This window comes from Homo sapiens, chromosome 2, assembly GCF_000001405.40.
Source record: "Homo sapiens chromosome 2, GRCh38.p14 Primary Assembly".
NCBI classification, from domain to species: domain Eukaryota; kingdom Metazoa; phylum Chordata; class Mammalia; order Primates; family Hominidae; genus Homo; species Homo sapiens.
The window spans coordinates 88,773,941-88,799,513 of NC_000002.12; the positions used below are offsets into that span (position 1 = coordinate 88,773,941).

Consider the following 25,573-nt stretch of genomic DNA (forward strand, 5'->3'; position numbering starts at 1 on the left):
GTCTCTTCATGCTGATACAAAATGAACATAAATACGATGACATACCAACATAGATTTGCTTATGTGGTTGCGTTTATTGATTTGTACTATATAAGAAATTAAATAGAAGTATTTCAGATACCCTGAATATAGCTATGTACACTGCCATAGCTGTATTGACTATATTCATTACTCCTTAGAGCCATGTTTTTCCATCATGTTATGACTCTGAAAAACCCCAGAGTATGCTTTTCAGAGAATGACATTGGAAAGAAGAAATGGCCAAAGTATCATTTGGTACCTTGGCTTCCTTACATAGATGTTGAACTCCAGGAATGATCAAATCACAGTTTTAGAACCCCTTTGTTGGGCCCTATAAAGGGTTTCCGAATGTCAAATGATAAATAGTCTCCAGATGAAGAAATCCTCTGTAACGCCTCACTGCTGTGTTTTCTTGCATTTTGTCCTTTTCTGAAAACTTTAAATACACGATTTTTGGGTAGAAATGAAAATCTTTCTGTTTTATATATTTGTTTCTGTCTCATGGCACTCTGATCTCTTTGAATCTGGTAAGGATCTAGCCTTGTCTTATTTATACCAGCAAGCAGTGTTGTCACTTAATGCTCTCATTTTTCACGTAAATGACTGACATTTTCCCAAGTCTTCACAAGTGATTTCTGAAGATGTTGCTGCATTGAGCAGAGACTATGTCATTGTAATTGCAGAAGTTTTTAAATTAAATATGTTTAATAAAATTTTAGAGCCTGTTTCTCTGGAACACATAACACATAATTGTGTAATGTGTATTTAACCATAAATTAGCTTCATAAAAAGTTTGTGTACATAAAAGTGTTTATATCCAAAGAAATTCTTATTTACTGCTCAGTAACCTCTCATGTAGAAGAAAATACGTAACATAGTTTGCTGAGTCTTTGATAATAACCCCTAGTGTAAAATAAAGCCATAAAGATAAAATGAGAGTTGATATTCAATGAAACTGATGTGAGTGAATAGAAACTATGAAACAGTGTGTCTATGGGAGAGAGGAGGACATGGGGCTGCTATTGTGAAGAAGGAATTTGTACAAGTTAGTCCATTTTCTGTAACTTTTATATTCTAATAAAGGAAAACCATATCTTCATATTTATAAAAACAAGATTTTACTGGTTTAATCACAGGGGTGGTGAGAATAATGAAGAACAAAATGTGGAAGGCAAAGAATGAAGACCGGATAGTGAGATTAGATTTATCAACAAAAAAGAGTGCAAGTGGGGTGGGATGGTGTAAATAAAGATAGCAGCTGGCTAGGTGTTTGGGGGTTTCTGATGAGGAAACCTGAGAAAACTCACTTTATGTGGACCTGGTATATTCGCACTCGAACAGAATATTGGATTATTGTTGCTTCAGAGCTTACTGGAAGCAGAAGGTGGAAGAATGAGAGTCAACCACAGGGACTCAATTCTTCTCTCTGTAGGGGTCACACATCGACAATAGGACAGGTGCTTCATGTTAGCAAAATGCGATGCACTGCATGTCAAACTGACTGTGGAAGCAAAACAATCAAGAAATATATTTCTTAAGTATTATTTATTTATTTATTTTTAAATTTTATTATTATTGTACTTTAAGTTTTAGGGTACATGTGCACAACGTGCAGGTTTGTTAAAATGTAACTCAATAATCATGGCAAATATTTTTATATATAAAAGGTGATTAACATGAAGCCTCTGATGTTTCAAATATTTTGGTTAGATTTGTTTTATGGGAATCTAATTACACATTAGGTATTTGGAGTGTAATGTATACATTTTTTGCATAAGTGAATGAAGAGATGGCAGGAGGGCTAAAGTTGAGAATCCAGGAAATGGAAAAACACCAGAAGCCTGCATGACTGGACAACATGAGTATTTTTGTTAACTATGCTTCTGTATGTAGATATCTGAACTAATGAACTGAGAATACATCCTTCAAGCAGAAGTGAATGATACATTTTAATGAAATTGATAGTTTTTAAGTTAGAGGACAAAATGAAGAACAGGAGAACTATTGTAGTATTATAGTATAAATGGTTCTTGGGTGATTTCTTCAGGGTACACCATAGCGTTCTACCATGGGCTTTGACATATATCCTTCTGGGGTCCTATTTGGTCCTTTCGTCTGACATCACATTTTTTGGCTTCAGTTAAGAGGATCACATTGGTAGAAGTACTTTTCTGTGTTAGTTGTAGTCATGTGAAACCTAATCTCTCTCTTGAAATCTGGACTACATGTTTTATGAAACCTATATTGTGATTTCCATGTGTATGTTCCTGCCATGTCTGTATGCTAACCAAAACAAGAGCAAAAGCAACCCAGAGCCTAATAGGTAACGGTTTCAAGACCAAGCATGAAGATTTCAGCTGGATACAAACACTACATAGTGGATGGTGGGCTGTGTCATATTTACGTGTACTTAATTATGTGTCCCTTTTGCTTTGTAGAATCTTCTGAGCAACCTCCTTTATCCACAGTAAACAAATATATTTTCATCTTTGTGATATATACATGATATATTAATCATTATGTTGTAAAACCCATTCAGCTTACCCTGAAAGAAGCAGATCCCAGTTCAAAAGTAGCCATAAGAAGGAAGGATTCACCACCTCCAGGAAAAGGTAAATTTGCCAATACAAATTTCATCTGGAAAGAAGGACATGAATATATTGGAAATGTTCATAATCTTCTGATTCTTACTTCTTTTCCCCCCATAAGGTAGAAGGATTTGATCTAAATGATGCTGATGCTGTTGTTAGTGTCTGTGCTTATAAAATGATATTTAGAAGAATAAGGAAAAGAAATTTTAAAAATGTGAGCTCTAGCTCAGATGCTTTTCCTTTTAGGTTGTGATAAAGATCCCAATGTGGAATTTGTATGCATGTTAGGGGTTCAAGGAGGTGAATTTTGAAACTATAAATATTTTTCAGTGCTTCAATTTCTCGTTGCAATACTGTCCTTTACCTAGAGGAAAGCTATACCTGCTGACATTACAATTGTGTTAGAACTTTAACTTCTTTATGTCAGTGTTGTCACACTGAGAACCTTTGAATCTTCACCCAATCACATGCTCTGATTACCAGCTTGAATTTCTGCATGTGTATGTGCGTGTGTGCTTTCGTTTGTGAGTTTGGGTGTGTGTGATACCTCTGATTCTGGAAAATGAATAAAGTCATTAATCATTTTTTGGTGACTCTTTGGTAGATACATTGTTTTAAAGCAATGATTCTGAGCTGTTTTAACTTTAGAATCTTTTATACTACTACAATTCATTGCCTACAGGTAACCAACAACCTGAATTAATGTTGGTTTGTTTGTTTTGTATTATACCTTAAGTTCTGGGATATATGTGAAGAACATGCAGGTTTTTTACATAGGCACACATATGCCATGGTGGTTTACTGTACCCATCAACCCATCAGCTACATTAGGTATTTCTACTAATGCTATCCCTCCCCTAGGACCCCACCCCCCTGACAGGCCCCGGTGTGTGTTGTTCCCCTCCCTGTGTCCCTATGTTCTCATTGTTCAACTTCCACTTATGAGTGAGAAAATGTGGTGGTTGGTTTTCTTTTCCTGTGTTAGTTTGCTGAGAATGATGGTTTCAGGCTTCATCCATGTCTTTGCAAAGGACGTGAACTCATTCTTTTTTATGGCTGCATAGTATTCCATGATGTGTATATGCCACATTTTCTTTATCCAGTCTATCTCTGATGGGCATTTGAGTTGGTTCCAAGTCTTTGCTATTGTGAATAGTGCTGCAGTAGACATGCATGTGCATGTGTCTTTATAGTAGAATGATTTTTAGTCTTTGGGGTATGTACTCAGTAGTGGGATTGCTGGGTCAAATGGTATTTCTGGTTCTAGATCCTTGAAGAATCACCACACTGTCTTCTACAATGGTTGAAATAATTGACACTCCCACCAACAATATAAAAGTGTTCCTATTTCTCCACATCCTCTCCAGCATCTGTTGTTTCCTGACTTTTTAACGATCACCATTCTAACTGGCGTGAGATGGTATCTCATTGTGGTTTTGATTTGCATTTCTCTAATGATCAGTGATGATGAGCCTTTTTTTCATATGTTTACTGGCTGAATAAATGTCTTCTTTTGAGCATATCCTTCACCCACTTTTTGATGAGGTTGTTTGTTCTTTTCTTGTAAGTTTGTTTAAGTCCCTTTTAGATTCTGGATATTAGCCTTTTGTCAGATGGAGAGATTGCAAACATTTTCTCCTGTTCTGTAGGTTGCCTGTTCACTCTGATCGTAGTATTGGAAGTTCTGGCCAAGGCAATCAGACAAGAGGAAAAAATAAAGGGTATTCAAATAGGAAGAAAGGAAGTCAAATTGTCTCTGCAGATGACATGATTGTATATTTAGGAAACCAAATCGTCTCAGCCCCAAATCTCCTTCAGCTGATAAGCAACATCAGCAAAGTCTCAGGATACAAAATCAGTGTGCAAAAATCACAAGCATTCCTATACACCAATAAAAGACAAACAGCCAAATCATGAGTGAATGCCCATTCACAATTGCTGCAAAGAGAATAAAATACCTAGGAATACGACTCACAAAGGATGGGAAAGACCTCTTCAAGGAGAACGACAAACCACTGCTCAAGGATATAAGAGAGGACACAAACAAATGGAAAAACATTCCATGCTCATGGACAGGAAGAATCAATATCACGAAAATGGCCATACTGCCCAAAGTAATTTATAGGTTCAGTGCTATAGACTACCATTGACTTTCTTCACAGAATTAGAAAGAACTACTGGAAATTTCATATGCAACCAAAAAAGAGCCCATATAGCCAAGACAATCCTAAGCAAAAAGAACAGAGCTGGAGGCATCACGCTACCTGACTTCAAACTATACTACAAGGCTATAGTAATGAAAACAGCATGGTACGGGTACCAAAACAGGGATATAGACCAATGGAACAGAACAGAGGCCTCAGAAGTAACACCATACATCTACAACCATATGATCTTTGACAAACCTGACAAAAAACAATCAATGGGGATAAGATTACCTATTTACTAAATGGTGTTGGGAAAACTGGCTAGCCTTATGCGGGAAACTGAAACTGGACCCTTTCCTTACACCTTATACAAAAATTAACTCAAGATAAATTAAAGACTTAAACGTTTAAGTAAGACCTAAAACCATAATAACCCTAGAAGAAAACCTAGGCAATACCATTCAGGACATTGGCATGGGCAAAGACTTCAAGACTAAAACACCAAAAGCAATGGCAACAAAAGCCAGAATTGACAAATGGGATCTAATTAAACTAAGGAACTTGTGCAGTTTTATTTGGGAGTGTGCATGAGGTACCTCTGAGTTTTAAAAATGAAGAAAGTAAGTGGTCATGCTTTCCTGACTCTTTGGTAGACACAGCCTTTTAAGACGGTGATTCTGAGCTGTTATGGTTTTGGGTTTTCTATAATACTAAAGCTTACTGCCGACATGTAACCAAAAGCTTGAATTAATGAAAAAAAAATTACCCAAATGCACGTTAAAAACCTCTTACAACATATGTGCACATTCATAGATAACATGTAGAACTTTATTTTGTGTTAAAAAGCTTGTAGAAAAGTTCAGGCAGTGCACTTAATGAATAAAACTTGGTCTTTGTAAAATCAGTGATATATATTTCAGATCTATCCACATTGACCCAGTGAGGTATTTCTTGATTTATTGTATAATCTCATGATATGCCATATGATGATTACAGCATATTATGCTGTCTTCATGCTGATACCATATGGACTTAAATATGATGACATACCAACATGGATATGCTTACGTGGTTGCTTTTATTGATTTGTACTATATTAGAAATGAAACAGAAGTATTGGAAATCCTAGCAAACATAGCTGTATCTCTCCCATGGCTGTGTTGATTGCAACTGTTTCCCCCTTAAAGCATGTCTTTTTGACATGTTCTGACTCTGAGAAAATCCATTATGTGCTTTTCAGAGAATAACGGTAAGGAGAGGAAATGGCCAATGGTCTCGGCTCCCCTTCATGAATGTTAAACTCTAAACTACTCAGATCACAATTTAGAACCCCTTTGTTGATCCCTATAGAGTGTTCCCGGATGTGAAATGACAAATAGGCCTTTGATGAAGAAACACCCTGTAAAGCCATATTGCTCTGGTTTTTGTGTGTGAATGTGTGTGTGTGTGTGTGTGTGTGTGTATTTTTTTCTCTTCTGAAAACTGTAAATGGAGGAATTTTCATTACAAATGAAAATGTTTCTGTTCCATATTTATTTCCTGTCTAATGTACTTTGCTCTTCTTGGATATAGTAAGGATCTCAGCTTGTCTTATTTATACCTGCAAAAAATTATGTCAATGCGTCATTTTTCATGTCAATTACTGACATATTTTCAAGTCTTCACAAGTTATTTCTGAAGATTTTGGTGCATCAAGGAGAGACTTTCATTGTAGTTAAAGAAGTTTTTAAATAGGTTATATTCAATAAAATTTCAGAGCTTGTTTCTCTGGAAAGCATAGACATAGTGGTGTTATGGGTAGTTAAACATAAAATAGCTCCACAAAGTGTTGTGTATATAAAAGTGTTCATATCCTGGAAAATTCTAATTTACTGCTCAGTACTGTCTCCTGGAGAGGAAAATAGGTAAGATAGGCTGCTAAGCCTATGATAATAACTCATAATATAAGGTGAAAGCATAGAGACAAAATGAGAGATGATAGATACTCAAACTGATGTGAGTGAAGAACAGCTGTGAAACAGTGTCTATGGGAGAGAGGAGACCATGGGGCTGCTTTTGTGAAGAAGGAATTTGTACACGTTAGTCAAGTGTCTGACACATTTAACATTTTAATAAAGCAAAACCTTATCTTCACATGTTTCAGAATGGGATTGTACAGATGTCACAATACGGTGGTGCAGAAAATAATGAAGAAATGAATGTGGAGGTCAAAGAATCAAGTCCACCAATATGGATATTAGATTTATGAACGAAAAAGAGTGTATTGCAAATTGGGCGGATGTAAACAGAGAAAGCAGCTAGCTAGGTAATTTGGAGGTTTCTGATGAGGAGACTTGTGGGAAGTCACTTAATGGAAAGCAGAAGTTAGAAGGATGAGGGTGACCCACAGGGTCTCATTTCTCCTCCCTAGAAGTTTTGCACATCAGTGATACATGCTTCGTTCACATCGGTTATCATATTGGGATACAGCTTAATCTAGAAAAAGTGTTTTTTTTTTTTTGAAAGCTGTGTTTGCTGAGGTAGTTATTTCGTAAAAGAACCTGAGAGACCCCTATGGTATATCATATGAAACTAGATTTAGAAAAAAGGAATCAAAGAATGCATTTTTAGAGTACTAAACAGATAACTGCCAATAATCATGACAATCATGACATATATATATATATATATATATATATATATATATATATATATATATATGTGTGTATGTCATATTGGTTGGTTATTTATAAGGAAAGAAGTCTCTAGTGATTTAGAAACTTTGTTTAGTTTATTTTCATAGGAATCTGATTACACATTATTTCATTGATGTGTATGTTTTTGCAAAAGTGGATGAAGAGACAGTGAGAAGGCCAAACTGCTGAATCCAGGAAGTGTAAAAACATCAGGAGTCTTCATGAGTATAAAGAAAATGATTTTTTAAATTATGACTCTAAGATTAAGTGAACTCACTTCAGATGCATTTAGAATATTTGCGTAAAGGATGATTTGATTTTTGGCTGCTCCAGGAATTACTGGAAGCAGGAAAGAGTGATAGAATTGGGATAAAGCACAGTGACTCATTACTCCTCTTTGTTACTATTGGGCACCAGAGGTATATGTTTTGTTGATATTAGTTATTCAAATGAGATAAACCTGAATATGCATACATTGGCTCTGTTTTTCAAGGAGCTAACTATTGGATAAAATAGCAGTTTAATAAAAATTCTCTAGAGAATAACATGATACTTCAACCAGACTATTTTAGAAGTGAAAATAATGTTGAATTCTTTACTTGACTCCCAAATGGTTATTTTCAATGAATATTGGAGTGATTTCCAGATGTAAAAGCTTATTCGTATCTAATGCTTGTAGCAACTTTATTTTGTATAAGTATGTCAAATTTGGTAATTTATTATACTTTTTGATGAAGTTTATATATTCTACCTTGTTGCCATGAGTGGATGAAGAAACTTTCGGAAGGCTAAACTAGAAGATACAAGAGATGTAGGCACATTATTACACCATATGGGTGTGAGAAATAATGAATATTACATACTAGAATTCACCAAACATATATCCAAGCTGATTAAGTTAGGACACTTCCACTGAAGAGATGTGAAGTGTACATTCAACTAAAGTGTCATTATATTTGTGTACCTTCTCACTGATCGATCAAGTTAAAGAGCATGATGAATGTTTGCAGTAAAATGTTCCAAATCATTCTGATATCTTGTGTGAAAGACATGCAGGTGCATGTATCACCTGCTTTGATGATTCCCAGGTGTATGAGTTGGACTCTGATTTTAGACATATGGAGCAAGTCATATCACATTTGATATTGTCAGTGTGTATTTCTTGAAGCCTGTATTCCTATTTTCTTCAGTGTATTTCCTTCATGTTTAGTCCCAAGAAACAAAGTGTAAAATATCAAAGCCTACAGAAATACAGGCAGGAGGATATAACTTGATGCTAGCATGCTATCTATGCATTAATGTATGGATAACATTATCATGTGTACATATGATTGATTATGTATCCCTTTTGCTTTTCAGTGTCTTCTCAGAAACAACCAGCTGAGAAGGTAATTAAAGTCTCATATGTTGAACTATTAACTGTATAGTCTATGAAACCTACTTCATGTATTGATTATTTTGTTTCAAATCCCATTCAGGCTGCAAGTGACGAGAAAGATTCTGTTTCGAATATAGCCACAGAAATAAAGGAGGGACCAATATCTGGGACAGGTAATTTTGCAAAACACATCTAATGTCATGTTCAATCAAGATAGAAGAGAACTTCCCTTCCCCAAATAAATCAGTGGGGAGTTCATCTAAGCTTCACGTTCTGATTGAGCACGCCTGAGATTCTTCATTTGTAGTGAGTTCTCAGGTGACCCTGATGCTGCTGGTCCTTGGCCGTTATCTGAGTAGTAAGATTATAGACTTCCCTACATTGAAATTGGGAAGAAGAACCATTGGAGAGCAGGTCAACACATACCAGGCTCAGGGAGCAGCATAATTTTGCTTTAATTTTACAGCATGTTTCCATCAAGAGGGGAAAGAGAACGAGATGAAGTAATAGATATTATAGGCATCATATCGTATTGTTTTAAACAGAGGGAAAAGTGATCCTAACAACTCCATAAACACTGTAGAATGAGAGCTAAGAGGACCACTGATGTAGCACTTATTCTCCTCAAGGAAGAGGGATTGTGAGGCAGGAAGGAGGAAAAAGAAGAAGGTATTTATGTAATTTTGGGGTTTCTGCTGAGGAAACCTGAGTGAACTCATTTCAGATGCATTTGGAATATTTGCATAAAAGAAGATTTGATTCTGGCTGCTCCAAGAACTACTGGAAGCAGGAAACAATGCTAGAATTGGGATAAACCACAGTGACTCATTACTCCTCTTTGTTACCATTAGGCATCAGAGATACATGTTTTGTTGACTTTAGTTATAAAAATGAGATAAACTTGAATATGAATACATTGGCTTCCTTGTTCAAGGAGCTAACTCTCAGATAAAATAGCTATTTAATGAAACTTCTTTAGAGAATAACATGATACTCCCAACAAGACTATTTTAGAAACAAAAATGATGTTGAAATCTAATTAACTCCTAAAGTGGTCATTTTCAATGAATATTGGAGTGATTTCTGAACGTAAAACTTATTAATATCTAATGCTTGTAGCAGTTTTACTTTGTAGAAGTTTGTTAACATTGGTAATTGATGATATTTTTATTGAGGCTAATATATTATCGTTTGTTGCCATGAGTGGATGAAGAAACTTTCAGAAGGCTAAACTAGTGGATACAAGAAACTTGGGCAAATTATTACACCACATGGGTGTGAGAAATAATGAATATTATCTACTAGATTTCAGGAAACATATATCCAAGGCGATCAATTTAGGACACTTCCACTGAAGAGACATGAAGCGTACATTTAACTGAATTGTCATTGTAATTGTGTACCTTCTAGTTATTGGGCAAGTTAAAGGGCATGATGAATGTTTGTAGTATAATGGTGTAAATCCTTCTGATTTCTTGCAAGAAAGACATGCGGGATCATGTACCACCTGCTTTGACATTGATTCTCAGGTGTGTGAGTTACTCCTCTGATTTGTCCTCATCACTCAGCATATCCACATTGATATTGACATGGTTTTATTTTAGTTTTAGATGTATCACAAATCATACCACGTTTGAAATTGTAGTGGTATATTTTGTGAAGCCTGTATTCCTTTTTTTTCAGTGTATTTCTGTCGTGTTCCAGTCTCCAGACAAAAGGTAGAAAACATCAAAGCCTACACTAGTACAGGCAGGAAAATACAACTTGATGCTAACACTGCATGAATGTTTGAATAAATTTATCATATGTACATATGAGTGATTATGTATCCCTTTTGCTTTTCAGTGTCTTCTCAGAAACAACCAGCTGAGAAGGTAATTAAAGTCTCATTTATACGTTGAACTAGTAACTGTATAGTCTATGAAACCTACTTTATTTATTGATTATTTTGTTTCAAATCCCATTCAGGCTGCAAGTGACGAGAAAGATTCTGTTTCAAATATAGCCACAGAAATAAAGGATGGACAACAATCTGGGAGACATAATTTTGCAAAGCAGATTTAATGTCATGTTCAGCCAAGATAGACAAGAACTTCTCTTCCCCGAATAAATCAGCGGGGGACTCTTTGAAGCTGCACATTCTGATTCAGCAGGCCTGAGATTCTACATTTGTAGTAAGTTCTCAGGTGACACTGATGCTGCTGGTCTTCGACATGAACTTTGCAGTAAGATTATAGACTTCCATACATTGAAATTGGGAAGAAGAAAGGTTGGAGAGCCATTAAAGACATAAGGAGTCAGGGGACAGCATAATTTTGCTTTAATTCTACAGCATGTTTTCACCAAGGGTGGAAGGAGAAAGAGATGAAGTATAGATTTTACAGACGTCACATCGTATTGCTAAAAACAGATGGAGAAATGATTGTAAAAACCCATAAACGCTGTAGAACGAGAACTAAGGAGACCATTGATGTAGCAATGACTTTCCTCAAGGAAGAGGATTGTCAGGCAGGAAGGAGGGAAAATAAGAAGTTATTTATGTAATTTTGGGATTTCTTCTAAGGAAACCTGAGTTCAGTTGCATATTCGAACATTTTCCTAAAAGAAGGTTTGATTTTGGCTGCTTTAGGAACCAGTGGAAGCAGGAAGGAGTACTAGAACTGGGACAAGCCACAGTGACTCATTACTCCTCTTTGTTACTGTTGGGCATCAGAGATATACATTTTGTTTATATTAGTTATTCAAATGAGATAAACATGAATATGCATATATTGGCTTTGCTTTTCAATTAGCTAACTTTTGGATAAAAATAGCAATTTAATGAAAATGCTTTAGAGAATAACATGATATTTTAAACCAGACTATTTTAGAAAGAAAATAATGGTGAATTCATTAATTGACTTTTAAAATTCTTATTTTCAATGAATATTGGAGTGATTTCCAAATGTAAAAGGTTATTCATATCTAATGCTTGTAGCAACTTTATTTTGTATAAGTATGTCAAATTTAATCATTTATTATACTTTTTGATAAGGTTTATGTATTATACTTTGTTGCCATGAGTGGATGAAGAACCTTTCTGTAGCCTAAACTAGAGGGCACAACAAATGTAGGCACATTATTACACCACATGGGTTTGAGAAATAAAGAATATTATATACAGGATTATCCCAACCTATATCCAAGCTGATGAAGCTGGGACACTTCCACTGAGGACTTGTGAAGTGTACATTCTACTAAAGTGTCATTGTCATTGTGTACCTGCTCAATTACCAGGCAAGTTAAAGAGCATGATGAATACTTGCAGTATAATGGTATAAATCCTTCTGATGTCTTGCATGAAAAACATGCAGTAGCATTTACTACCTTCTTTGACATTGATTCCTGGGTGTATGAGTTGCTCCTCTGATTTTAGATCACATTTCTTTTCATCATTTGGCATATCCACATTGATATTGACGCTTTTTATTTCAGTAATACACACATGACGCATAATACCTCTTTGTAATTTCTGACTGTATATTTTCTGGAAGCCTGTATTCCTATTTTCTTCAGTGTATTTCCTCATGTTCCTGTCCCAAAGACACAAACTATAAAACATCAAATCCTACACTAGTACAGGCAGGAGGTTACAGCTTGATGCTAACACTGCATGAATGTGTGGACGACTTTATCATATTTACATATGATGGATTATATATTTCTTTTGCTTTTCAGTGTCTTCTCAGAAACAATCGGCCTGGAAGGTAGTTACTCTTTCATTTATATTTTGAATTATTTATTGCATAGCATATGAAATATATATTATGTTGACTATTTTGCTTCTCTTTCCATTCAGGTTATATTTAAAAAGAAAGTTTCTCTTTTGAATATTGCCACAAGAATAATGGGTGGTCAGAAATCTGGAACAGGTAATTTGGCAATACACATTTAATGTCATGTGCACTCAAGACAGAAGAGAACGTCCCACCCCTGAATAGATCAGTGGGGTGTCATTGAAAATGCACTTTCTGATTCAGCAGGCCTGAGATTGTGCATTTCTAGTAAGTTCTCAGGTGATGCTGATGCTGTTGGTCCTCGGCCATGATCTTAGTAACAAGCTTATAGACTTCCCTACATTGAATTTGGATAGAAGAACCACTGGAAAACAGTTCAAGACATAAGAGGTTCGGGGGACAGCATAATTTTGCTCTTATTTCAGAGCATGTTTCTATGGAAAGGGGAAGGAGAAAGAGAAAAAAGTAATAGAACTTATAGATGTCAGATGGTACTGCTAAAACCAGAGGGAGGAAGTTGTCATAATAATCCATAAACACTGGAGAATGAGGAGCAAGGTGACCACTGATGTAGTAATTATTTTCATCAAGAAAGAGGGATTGCAAGGCAAGAAAGAGAGGAAGGAAGAAGTTATTTAGGTAATTTTGGGGTTTCTGCTGAGGAAACCTGAGTGAACTCACTTCAGATGCATTTAGAGTATTTGCATACCAGAAGATCTGATTTCTGGCTGCTCCAATGACTACTGGAATCAGGGAGTGCTAGAGTTGGGACAAACCACAGTGCCTCATTATTCATGTTTATTACTATCAGACATCAGACATATATTTTTATTAGTTATTCAAATGAGTTGAAATTTAATATGAATATATTAGCTTTTTTCCAAAATGCTGGCTGTTTTGTTAAAATAGCTATTTAATGAAAATTCTTTATAGTAAAGTGATATTCCAGACAGACAAAAATAATGTTGAATGCATTAATTGAATCCTAAAATGGTTATTTTCAATGAATATTGGACTGATTTCCAAATGTATAAGTTTATTAATATCTAATGCCTGGAGCAATTCCATTTTGTATAAGTATGTATAATTTATTATACTTTGTGATGGGGTTTATATATTATACCTTCTTGCCATTAGTGGATGAAGAAAGTTTCTGAAGGCTAAACTAGAGGATATAAGAAACGTAGGCAGATTATTACACCACATGAGCATGATAAATAATGAATATTGACTACTAGGATTCACCAAACATATATCCAAGCAGATCAATTCAGGACACTTACACTGAAGAGACGTGAAGTGTACATTCAACTGAAGTGTCATTGTAATTGTGTACCTTCTCAGTTATCGAACAAGTTAAAGAGCATGATGAATATTTGTGTTATAATGGTATAAATCCTTCTGATGTCTTGCATGAAAGTCATGCGGTGGCAGTTAGCACCAGCTTTTACACTTATTTCTAGGGTTATGATTTGCTCCTCTGATTTTAGATCTCATTTCTCCTTGTTAATCAGCATATCCACATTGATATTAACACTTTTTTTTAGCAATAGATGTGGTGCATAATCTCACTTTTTAACTTGTAACTGTATGTTTTTTGAAGCCTGTATTCCTGTTTTCTTCATTGCATTTCTATCACGTTACTGTCCCAAAGAAACAAACTAGAAAAACATGAAACCCCACACTAATACAGGCAAGAGTATTCAGTTTGATGCTAACACTCCATGAATGTATGGTTGGCCTTACCATATTTACATATGATTGATTATATATTTCTCTTGCTTGTTAGAGTATCCTGAGAATCTGCCCACCATGAAGGTAATTACTCTTACATTAATATTTTTAATTATTAACTGCATATCCTATACCAATATGCATCATGTGCTAATCATTTTGTTTTAAAACCCATTCAGGCTACAGTTGAAAATAAAGATTCTGTTCTGAATACAGCCACCAAAATGAAGGATGTACAAACATCCACACCAGGTAAACTTTGCATTGTAGATTTAACTCTGGAAAGAAGTACATTAATCTATTTGTAATGCTCATAGTCTTTCTATTCTCAATTATTTCACTTTTTATATTTTATTTCAGGATTTCATCTAAATAATGCAGCTGTTATAATTTTTATTTATGTTTTCAAAAATGAGATTTACATGCATAAGGAAAATATATTTTTAAAACATAAAGTTTTTTCTTTTTTTTTATTTGGAGACAGAGCTTTGCTCTTGTTGCCCAGGCTGGAGTGCAATGGCTCAATTGTAGCTCACCGCAACCTCCGCCTTCCTAGTTCAAGCAATTCTCCTGCCTCAGCCTCCCGAGTAGCTGGGATTACAGGCATGCACCACCATGTCTCGCTAATTTTGTATTTTTAGTAGAGACAGGGTTTCTCCATGTTGGTCAGGCTGGTCTTGAACTCCCGACCTCAGGTGATCCTCCCGCCTCGCCCTCCCAAAGTGCTGGGATTACAGGCGTGAACCACCGTGCCTGGCCTAAAAATATAAGGTTTTATTCAGATGTTTCTACTTTCACATTTTGATACTCTGAAGTTTCCAATTTGGAATTTCAATAGTTTTTAGCGATTTAAAGAGATCAATTTTGATACTGTAAAATATTTGTTTTGCTTTAAAAGTCAGTTCAAATTATGGCTTTTAGCTAATGAAATGTTTTATTTGGTAACATATTTGTTTTGTTTTAACTTTTATTGGTTTTGGTCAATTTTGTTACGCTTATTATATTAAGCCAATCAGATGTTCGGATTAGCACACTCTGTGCCTGTGTGTGTGTTACTTTATTTTTTTGTTTTTAATTTTAATGAGTAAATTGTAGGTGTTTATGTTTATGGAGTAAATAAGATATTTTGATACAGGCATACAATGTGTAATAATGACATCATGGTTAATGGGTTATCCATCACCTCAAGCATTAACCATTTCTTTGTGCTGTCTTTTAATTTGTACTTCCTCAGTAATGCTAAAATGTACAACAAGTTATTGCTGACTGTAGTCATGTTTTTGTGCTATAAAATGCTACATTTTATTCATTGTTTCTAACTGTAGTTTGTACTTACTAAGCATCCTCATTTCCTACCACCCCCACACCCTTCCTAGACTGTGGTAATGGTGATTTTTCTCTTCATCTCCATGAGCTCTATTTTTTAAATTTCTCACACCCACAAAGGACTGACAACATGTGAAGCCTTCCTTTCTTTGCCTGGATTATTTTACTTGACATAATGTCCTCTTGTTCCATCCATGTCATTGCAAATGAGAGGATCTTATTCTTTCATATGGCTGAGCAGTATATGTATCACATTTTTAGAACCCATTTCTCTGTTGATGTACATTTAGGTTGATTCCAAATTATGGCTATTGTGAAAAGTGCTGCAATAAACATGTCCGGGCAGATTTCTCTTTTATAATACTGATTTTCTTGCTGTTGAGTAGTTACCTAGCAATGGGATTGCTGGATCATGTGGGTAGTTGTATTTTTAATTTTTTGAGGACTCTATACTGTTCTCCATAGTGACTGTACTAATTCACAATGCCACCAATGGTGTACGAGGGTTCCGCTTTCTCCACATCCTCACCAGCATTTCTTAATGCCTGCCATTTGGATAAAAGCCATTTTAATTGAGGTGAGAAGATACCTCATTGTAGCTTTGATTTGCATTTCTGTGATGATGAGTGATGTTGAGCACCTTTCCATATACCTGTTTGCCATCTGATAGCAGTTTGAAACATAACAGTGTCATTTTGCTACTATTTCTGAGCATGTTTCTAGCCAGAGGGAAAGGAACACAAATTTAGGAAATAGAAATTATACATGTAAGATACTACTGCTAAATTAAGAGGTTTTCCTCTTTATTTGTGGTGGGAATAATTTATGAGAGCTATATAGAAGTGCTGATATTAGTTAATCAAATGAAATTTATTTGAACTAAGAAACTTTGACTGATTTTACTAAGAAACCTATTTTTTAAATAAGATCACACTTCCATGAAAGTGCCTTAGAGATTAGCATGGTATATCAAATCAAACTAATTTTAGAAACAAAAAGTTGTAGCATTCATTCTTTGAATAACAAAACCAAAATAATCAGTGAACATTGCACTGATTTTGAAGTATAAAATGTTATTAATAAGTCTGTGGAAATTTAATTTTTTCATTTTTGACAATTATTTACACACTGAAAGCTTATTATACACTTTTTTTTTTTTCTGAGATGGAGTCTCACTCTGTCTCCCAGCCTGGAGTGCAATGGCACAATCTCGGCTCACTGCAACCTCCACCTCCCGGGTTAAAGCGATTCTCCTGCCTCAGCCTCCTGAGTAGCTGGGATTATAGGCACATGACATCATGCCCGGCTAATTTTTGTATTTTCAGTAGAGATGGGGTTTCACCATGCTAGTCAGGCTGGTCTCGAACTCCTGACCTTGTGATCCACCTGCTTCAGCTTCCCAAAGTGCTGTGATTACAGGCATGAGCCACCACACCCAGCCTATACACTATTTTTGATGTGGTTTGTATATCTTCTTGCATGAGTGGATTCAGAAACTTCTTGACAGGGCCAAACTGCAGGATACAAGCAATGTAGACATAGCAGTAGCCTACCTAGGAATGAAAAAAATGAATAGTTTTATTAAATTTTATTCTACAACTGTCTATCTAAGCTGATTAATTTTAAACAGTTTCTCTGATGAGAAATAAATTATATATTTATTGGAAGTGTCCTCACAACTTTGTACTTCCTAAATAATAGGAAAAATAGTTGGACATGATAAATGCTTGTAGTATAATGGTGTAATTGGATCTGAAGTATTGCATTAAAGATAGGCCATAGCATCCTCCCATCAGCTTTGACACTTACTCTCTCAGGATCATGATTTGCTATTCTTTATAAGGATCATTTTTCTTATTATCAGTCAACATGTTTACATTGGAATAGACACACTCTTCTATTTTAGTTATAGTTAGTTGAGACATAACCTCACTTCTGAAACCTTAAATACATATTTTATAAAACCTGTATTAAATAAACCCGTTTATCTGAGGAAAGATAGCCAGAATCAAGGAAGACTTCACATAGCTGTCTGAGTCTTAAATTATGAAAGAAATTTGTCAGAATAGTTGAAAATATTTTAGATATAAAGAAGAGACTGCACATTGATGAAAATGTAAACAGTAGCAGTCATTTTGGAAATGATTAATAATGAACAGCAGGCTCAATGTGCTGTTATAAAGGTACTATTGTGAAGTAAAGAACAGTGTGCTGTTACTTTTTCTGTTTCTATTGGATTTTTACATTTTGTTTTATTTCCGATGGTTTTGTTCATTGATGTTGGGTGGATGAATTTATGAGTGAATCTTTGACCATATTTGCATGGCTTGAACCTGGTGACATCTAGTGCCTCCCCAAATGGTTTGCTGAAGTTTTGGAGGATTAAAAGCATTTCTTAAAGAAGTAAATATTATACTAAAGATTAAGCTTCGTTTAAACACTTTTATTTTCTGGTTTTAGAAAGACTATGGCTTTTTTTTTTTTTGAGACGGAGTCTCGCTCTGCCGCCCAGGCTGGAGGTGCAGTGGTGAGATCTCGGCTCACTGCAAGCTCCACCTCCCGGGTTCACACCATTCTCCTGCCTCAGCCTCCCGAGTAGCTGGGACTATAGGCGCCCGCCACCAGGCCCAGCTAATTTTTTGTATTTTTTAGTAGAGACGGGGTTTCACCTTGTTAGCCAGGATGGTCTCGATCTCCTGACCTCGTGATCCGCCCGCCTCGGCCTCTCAAAGTGCTGGGATCACAGGCGTGAGCCACCGCGCCTGGCTGACCATGGCTTTTATCTAACTGTTCTGTGTAGCTCATTTTAACTAAATATATAATTTTTTTTAGAAGAACAAGACTTAGAAATGGCATCAGAGGGAGAGCAAAAGAGGCTTGAAGAATATGAAAATAACCAGCCACAGGTATGTAAAAATTTAAAATCAAATTTCTGGTTTAATCTTGTTTTCCTTGCTTTGGTAATACAGCATATTTGAAATGAATTTACCTTTGGATTAGCCTTTTAGTATCAGTTGATTATAATTTAATATTTCACTTTAAAAACACTTAACTAGTTATAAAACTTAAAATAATGTTGGAATCTATAGCAACTTATATCTAATCTTTACCCTTGGAATTGAGTTAAAAATTTCCTGATATTGTTTGCACTTCTATTTTTATAACTTCCTATTATAATAAAGAAGGTAACATCAAATATTGAATTACAACTTTAAGCAATAGAAATTATGAACAATTTAACAGTGATGACCACCGTATTGGATTCAGATTAAAGGAGTAATTATTGCTAGTGGTTCAAACTTTGCAGTTTTTTTATTGCCAGTCACTAATACCAAGGTTAAGAATTTATTTTCCCTTTTGATCTCTGACTTCAGTTTCTATGTTCAGGGAGAGAATGGGTCATAAAATCAACCCAACTGGCTATCAAGAGAATTATACCTTGCAGAATGGCACCTTTGGTATTAGCGTACAAACAATAACTGCCTAATATACAAAAACTGGAAGCATTCCCTTTGAAAATGGGCACAAGACAGGGATGCCCTCTCTCACCACTCCTATTCAACATGGTGTTGGAAGTTCTGGCCAGGGCAGTTAGGCAGGAGAAGGAAATAAAGGGTATTCAATTAGGAAAAGAGGAAGTCAAATTGTCCCTGTTTGCAGATGACATGATTGTATATCTAGAAAACCCCATTGTCTCAGCCCAAAATCTCCTTAAGCTGATAAGCAACTTCAGCAAAGTCTCAGGATACAAAATCAATGTAAAAAAATCACAAGCATTCTTATACACCAATAACAGACAAACAGAGAGCCAAATCATTAGCGAACTCCCATTCACAATCACTTCAAGGAAAATAAAATACCTAGGAATCCAACTTACAAGGGATGTGAAGGACCTCTTCAAGGAGAACTACAAACCACTGCTCAGTGAAATAAAAGAGGATACAAACAAATGGAAGAACAGTCCATGCTCATGGGTAGGAAGAATCAATATCGTGAAAATGGCCATACTGCCCAAGGTAATTTATAGATTCAATGCCATCCCCATCAAGATACCAATGACTTTCTTCACAGAATTGGAAAAAACTACTTTAAAGTTCATATGGAACCAAAAAAGAGCCTGCATCACCAAGTCAATCCTAAGCCAAAAGAACAAAGCCGGAGGCATCATGCTACCTGACTTCAAACTATACTACAAGGCTACAATAACCAAAACAGCATGGTACTGGTACCAAAACAGAGATATAGATCAATGGAACAGAACAGAGCCCTCAGAAATAATGCCGCATATCTACAACCATCTGATCTTTGGCAAACCTGACAAAAACAAGCAATGGGGAAAGGATTCCTTATTTAATAAATGGTGCTGGGAAAACTGGCTAGCCATATGTAGAAAGCTGAAACTGGATCCCTTCCTTACACCTTATACAAAAATTAATTCAAGATGGATTAAAGACTTAAATGTTAGACCTGAAACTATAAAAACCCTAGAAGAAAACCTAGGCATTACCATTCAGGACATAGGCATGGGCAAGGACTTCATGTCTAAAACACCAAAAGCAATGGCAACAAAAGCCAAAATTGACAAATGGGATCTAATTAAACTAAAGAGCTTCTGCACAACAAAAGAAACTACCATCAGAGTAAACAGGCAACCTACAAAATGGGAGAAAATTTTTGCAACCTACTCATCTGACAAAGGGCTAATATCCAGCATCTACAATGAACTCAAACAAATTTACAAGAAAAAACAAACAACCCCATCAAAAAGTGGGTGAAGGATATGAACAGACACTTCTCAAAAGAAGACATTTATGCAGCCAAAAAACACATGAAAAAATGCTCATCATCACTGGCCATCAGAGAAATGCAAATCAAAACCACAATGAGATACCATCTCACACCAGTTAGAATGGCAATCATTAAAAAGTCAGGAAACAACAGGTGCTGGAGAGGATGTGGAGAAATAGGAACACTTTTACACTGTTGGTGGGACTGTAAACTAGTTCAACCATTGTGGAAGTCAGTGTGGTGATTCCTCAGGGATCTAGAACTAGAAATACCATTTGACCCAGCCATCCCATTACTGGGTATATACCCAAAGTATTATAAATCATGCTGCTATAAAGACACATGCACACGTATGTTTATTGCAGCACAATTCACAATAACAAAGACTTGGAACCAACCCAAATGTCCAACAATGATAGACTGGATTAAGAAAATGTGGCACATATACACCATGGAATACTATGCAACCATAAAAAATGATGAGTTCATGTCCTTTGTAGGGACATGGATGAAACTGGAAACCATCATTCTCAGCAAACTATCGCAAGGACAAAAAACCAAACACCGCATGTTCTCACTCATAGGTGGGAATTGAACAATGAGAACACATGGACACAGGAAGGGAAACATCACACTCCGGGGCCTGTTGTGGGGTTGGGGGAGGGGGGAGGGATAGCATTAGGAGATATACCTAATGCTAAATGACGAGTTAATGGGTGCAGCACACCAACATGGCACATGTATACATATGTAACAAACCTGCACATTGTGCACATGTACCCTAAAACTTAAAGTATAATAATAATAAAAATAACTGCCTAATGTATTTCAATATAGAAAATCCATAAATATTGTTAAATTGATTAAATCCACTGTCATTAGTAGACCTTAGAACTTAAGCCTATAATCTATATAAATATATAACACTGTCAATCATATTACATTATGTAATTTGCATTAAAATGTAAGAATTTGCTTTTCTTACTGACTGGTGTTGATTTTGGCTCCTAATAATTTAAAGTTTGCCTAATCATTAGTTAGTAATCTTTGGAAAAAGCACTCAAGTGTACACTGTACATATAGTGATAAAATCTTTTAAAGTGACAGTGCCTTTATAGTACTACAAGTCATCTCCTAATTCATTTTTGGGAAATTTAACACATAATGAATTAGTCAAGTTTAGTCCAAACAAACAGTGACAAATCAAAGTTTCATGGTTTATGTTTTTCACTTATTTTAGGCTAATGCAAATTATTTTTCACTTCTTAGTTACAATCCAGTGATTTGGGAGTAGGTAAACATAGATTAAGAAGTTTAATATTAAACTTTAATTATTTTTTAATTTTTCTCTTTTGACACTTGATTATTTAAAGATAGTTATTTTTAAAACATGTACTCTGACAGAAAAGACATCTGAGAAACAAAACTAGCAAATTTATCTTCCACTTTTGCATGTGCAAAAATTGTCTCAACAACTAGTAGTGAAAAAGTGTTGTGATAGAAAGGACCTCTTTATATATGCAGGACTTACTTGTGCACAAAAGTATGAGAGAATGTGGATCAAACAAGACAAATTAGGGTAAAAAGAAACTTTAAAATTCATCACAAATAAGTTAAAGCAGAGTTTCGGTGAAATTTGTGAAAATTACAAAACTGCTTGTATTGAGGAAGAGCAACTACATAATAGCTCTACAGGAAGAACAAACTTAAGTAAATACCCTCTAATTTGACAAATGATTCACCTGATTGTCAGGAAAGTGATGCATCTGGCATGTCTGTCTCTGTAGTAGTCCAGATATTTCCTGAACAAAATAACCCAGTCTCAGAAATGCCTTTCTATCTCATTCATACTCTGGGTCCCCAGAATATGCTTGCCAGTCACCTTCTGAGCTTTATTTAAGTAGAAATAAAGTAGACCGTGAAAATGACAACAAACCAGATACTGAACATGTTTTTAACCCAGACAAGGAAAATTTTTGTAATGATACAGAAAGTATGAAAGCAAGAAACCCAGAAGTAGTTATGGTTGAAATAAAAGAAGACCAATAGGTTGTTAGGCAAATGACAAAAAACCAAAACACCACGAATTGGAAATTAAACATAGGACATATGCCTCAATTTAGTGATTCAAAAAACCTTTTAGATATGTGGCTTAACTGCTCCAAAGAAATGAAGCATGTAATTAAAAAAAAAAAAGATTATGGTGTTTCTGTTGTTACAAACACAACAGTACAAAACCAATACAGAATGTGTTCCAGAAGCTGTTATATGACAACTGTAGTGCAAATAAGTATGAAAGCATAAAACATGAATTAGAAAATGTGCATTATTCTCCACCACTTGGTGACAGAACATCAGCAGTATGTCTAGAAGTGGAATTAAGTGATATATGCAAAGATTTAAGAATGAGGTAAGCATATTACAAGTAAAGTAGAGTTCCTGGCTTTGGAGAAAGTTCAACTTCAAAAAGACTTAGACGGTCACTTGCTGCTACTCTGTTTTTTCTCTTCACCCATTATTTGATCCATTTGAATTTTTTACTTATGAAAATCTCTTGTGTAAAATGGGGTTATCTAAATACATAATTGTACGTGTAAATAGATTGTTTTTGCAATTAAAATAATTCAAGCTCAGGAAGACATTCTCTTAATCTTTGTTCCTCAATTAACCCAAGTCTCTCTGTCAGTTTTCTAAATGGCATAGGAACTGGGAAACTAATTTATCCATAGACCATGTGGTCTTCTGAACTAGAGTCAACATAAAGGAAATTGCTTAAAAAAGAAGTACAGAACAAGTACCTGTGTTTGTGCTTGTATAAACAGATGGGTAATTCCCACTTCTGTACATTTAGTGTATGTTATAAATATTTTGGGGACATTTTGAAACAGTGTTATATATTTTGTAGGTGAAAAACCAAATACATTCTAGGGATGACCTTGATGACATAATTCAGTCATCTCAAATAGCCTCAGAGGATGATGACTCGCTTTGCTCTAATTGTAAGAAAGTCATATTACTCATTGATCAACATGAAATGAAGTGCAAAGGTAGGACCAATGCATAAATATAAGGCTTTTTAAAAATCCTATAGCAATGTATGCACACATTGCTTAGCACTGTACCATAGAGTACTGATATGTTACAAGAATGTTCATCTCAGAAATATGCCTTATGTTAAAATAGAATGAAAACAGCTGTATCTTGTACCTTCTCAGCCAAAGAGCTATGATCATTTCACTGTACTTTTCTCAGTGTGAATGGCACGCCCAATGTGTTTGTTTACTCTGCTTCTCTTCTATGCCATTACCCATTTATCCATGGTCAGGTTACCATTTCCTCCCACCTGAAATACTGTGATAACCTTCTAACTGTCTTTCCTACTATTCCACCTTCCAAAACCACGGCCTGTTCTGCAATCGTAATTATATAGTTGTAAACAATCACACCTGATCATGTTACCTGCTTGCTGAAAACCCAGCTGCCATTTATTGCTATAAGGTATGGATCTCAGTCCTCGAGCTTTATATTGCATCATTGCATACCCTTCTCTGTGCCACAGCCAGTGCCTTAGGTGTTTGCTCCTACAATCAGTAGCTTTAGTGTGTATAATTGATATGCGATAAAGTGCACACATGTAAAAGGTACCATTTGATAAGTTTTAACAGATGTATACACATGTGAAACTATTACCACCATCGAGATAGTCAACATGTATCCATCACCCACTAACGTCTCCTCATGGCCCTTTATGTTCCTGTTTTTAAAAGCTGCTAAATGGTTTTCCAAAATATTTGTACTATTTTCTATTCTCATCAGTAGTAAATGACCATTCCAGTTGCTATGTTGTCACACTACTGCTGTATTTATTTTTTTAAATTTTAGTCACTCTGATGGGTGTATTATGTATATTATTATGGGTTTAATGTACACGATCCTAATGACTAAAATGTTGAGCATCTTTCCATGTGTTTATTTGCCATCTGTACATCTTCTTTGTTGAACTGTCTTTTCAAATCTTTTGCCATTTAAAAAAGTAGGTTGATGTTTTCTTACTTGTTGAGTTTTAATAATTCTGTATGTATTTGGATACTATTACTTTTTAGCTACTTTTTTACAAGGGCATTTTCTCCAGTTTTTGGGTTGACTTTTCACTTGCTTTGTAGTATCTTTTGAAGAGCAGAAGATTTTAATCGTAATGAAGTCCAATTTAATTGTTGAATTACAGATTATGCATTTTGTGTCATATGTAAAAAATGTTTGCTTAGCACAAGGTCACAAAGATTTTTCCTATGTTTGTTCTAGAAATTTTACAGATTTGGATCTTACATTTAAATCTGTGCTCCATTTTGAGTTTCCTTTTGTATATGGAGTGAGGTGAGGTATGGATTCATGTTCACTTTTTGGATATGGACAGCCAATTGTTCCAGCACCACATGTTGAAAAGGCTGTCCTTTCTCCACTGCATTGCCATCCTGCCTTTGTCAGTCATAGGCTGGTTGCATATGTGTTATCTATTTCTGGACTGTCTATTGAATTTTATTAATTTGCAGATGCTCCCCAAATTGTGGGAAAGCCAGTGTTTGAGTCAAAAGCAATTTAATACTTCAGTAAACCCACTGTAAAGTCAATAAGTCAAACCACCTTAAGTTGGGGATTGTCTGTATTTGACTTTCTTTATACAGGTTGAGCATTGCTAATTTAAATATCCCAAATCTGAAATGCTCTAAAACCCCAAACTTTTTGATTGCCAACATAGACACCACAGTGTAAAAATTCTATATCCGACCTCGTGTATACAAACATTGTTTCATGCCCCAAATTATTAAAAGTATTGTTTAAAATTACCTTCAGTCTTTGTGTATAAGGTAAATATGAAAAATAAATGTATTTTGTGTTTAGACTTGGGTCCTATCCCCAAGATATCTCATCATGTATATGCAAATATTCCAAAATCCAAAATCTGAAAAACTTCTAGTCTGAAGCATTTTGAATAAGGGATACTCAGCCTGTACCTATGGCACACTGTTTTGGTAACTATTGAATTATAGTAATTCTTGAAATGAATCCTCCAACTTTGTTCTTTGTTCTGTTTTGACTATGCTAGATCCTTTGCATTTTCACATGAACTTTAGAATCA

The 25,573-nt window shown here is 35.3% G+C and overlaps 1 pseudogene across 1 annotated transcript in view; it reads left to right on the forward strand.

The window, feature by feature from the left end:
* Positions 1-25,573, forward strand: part of ANKRD36BP2 (ankyrin repeat domain 36B pseudogene 2) — a 40,695-nt pseudogene that overhangs the window by 8,039 nt on the left and 7,083 nt on the right. Inside the window, exons 3-12 of the transcript NR_015424.1 lie at positions 2,561-2,633; positions 8,794-8,822; positions 8,913-8,985; positions 10,658-10,686; positions 10,781-10,986; positions 12,530-12,558; positions 12,651-12,723; positions 14,378-14,406; positions 14,502-14,574; positions 18,481-18,554. The product of NR_015424.1 is annotated as an ankyrin repeat domain 36B pseudogene 2 (transcript). The remainder of the gene's footprint in view (positions 1-2,560; positions 2,634-8,793; positions 8,823-8,912; positions 8,986-10,657; positions 10,687-10,780; positions 10,987-12,529; positions 12,559-12,650; positions 12,724-14,377; positions 14,407-14,501; positions 14,575-18,480; positions 18,555-25,573) is intronic.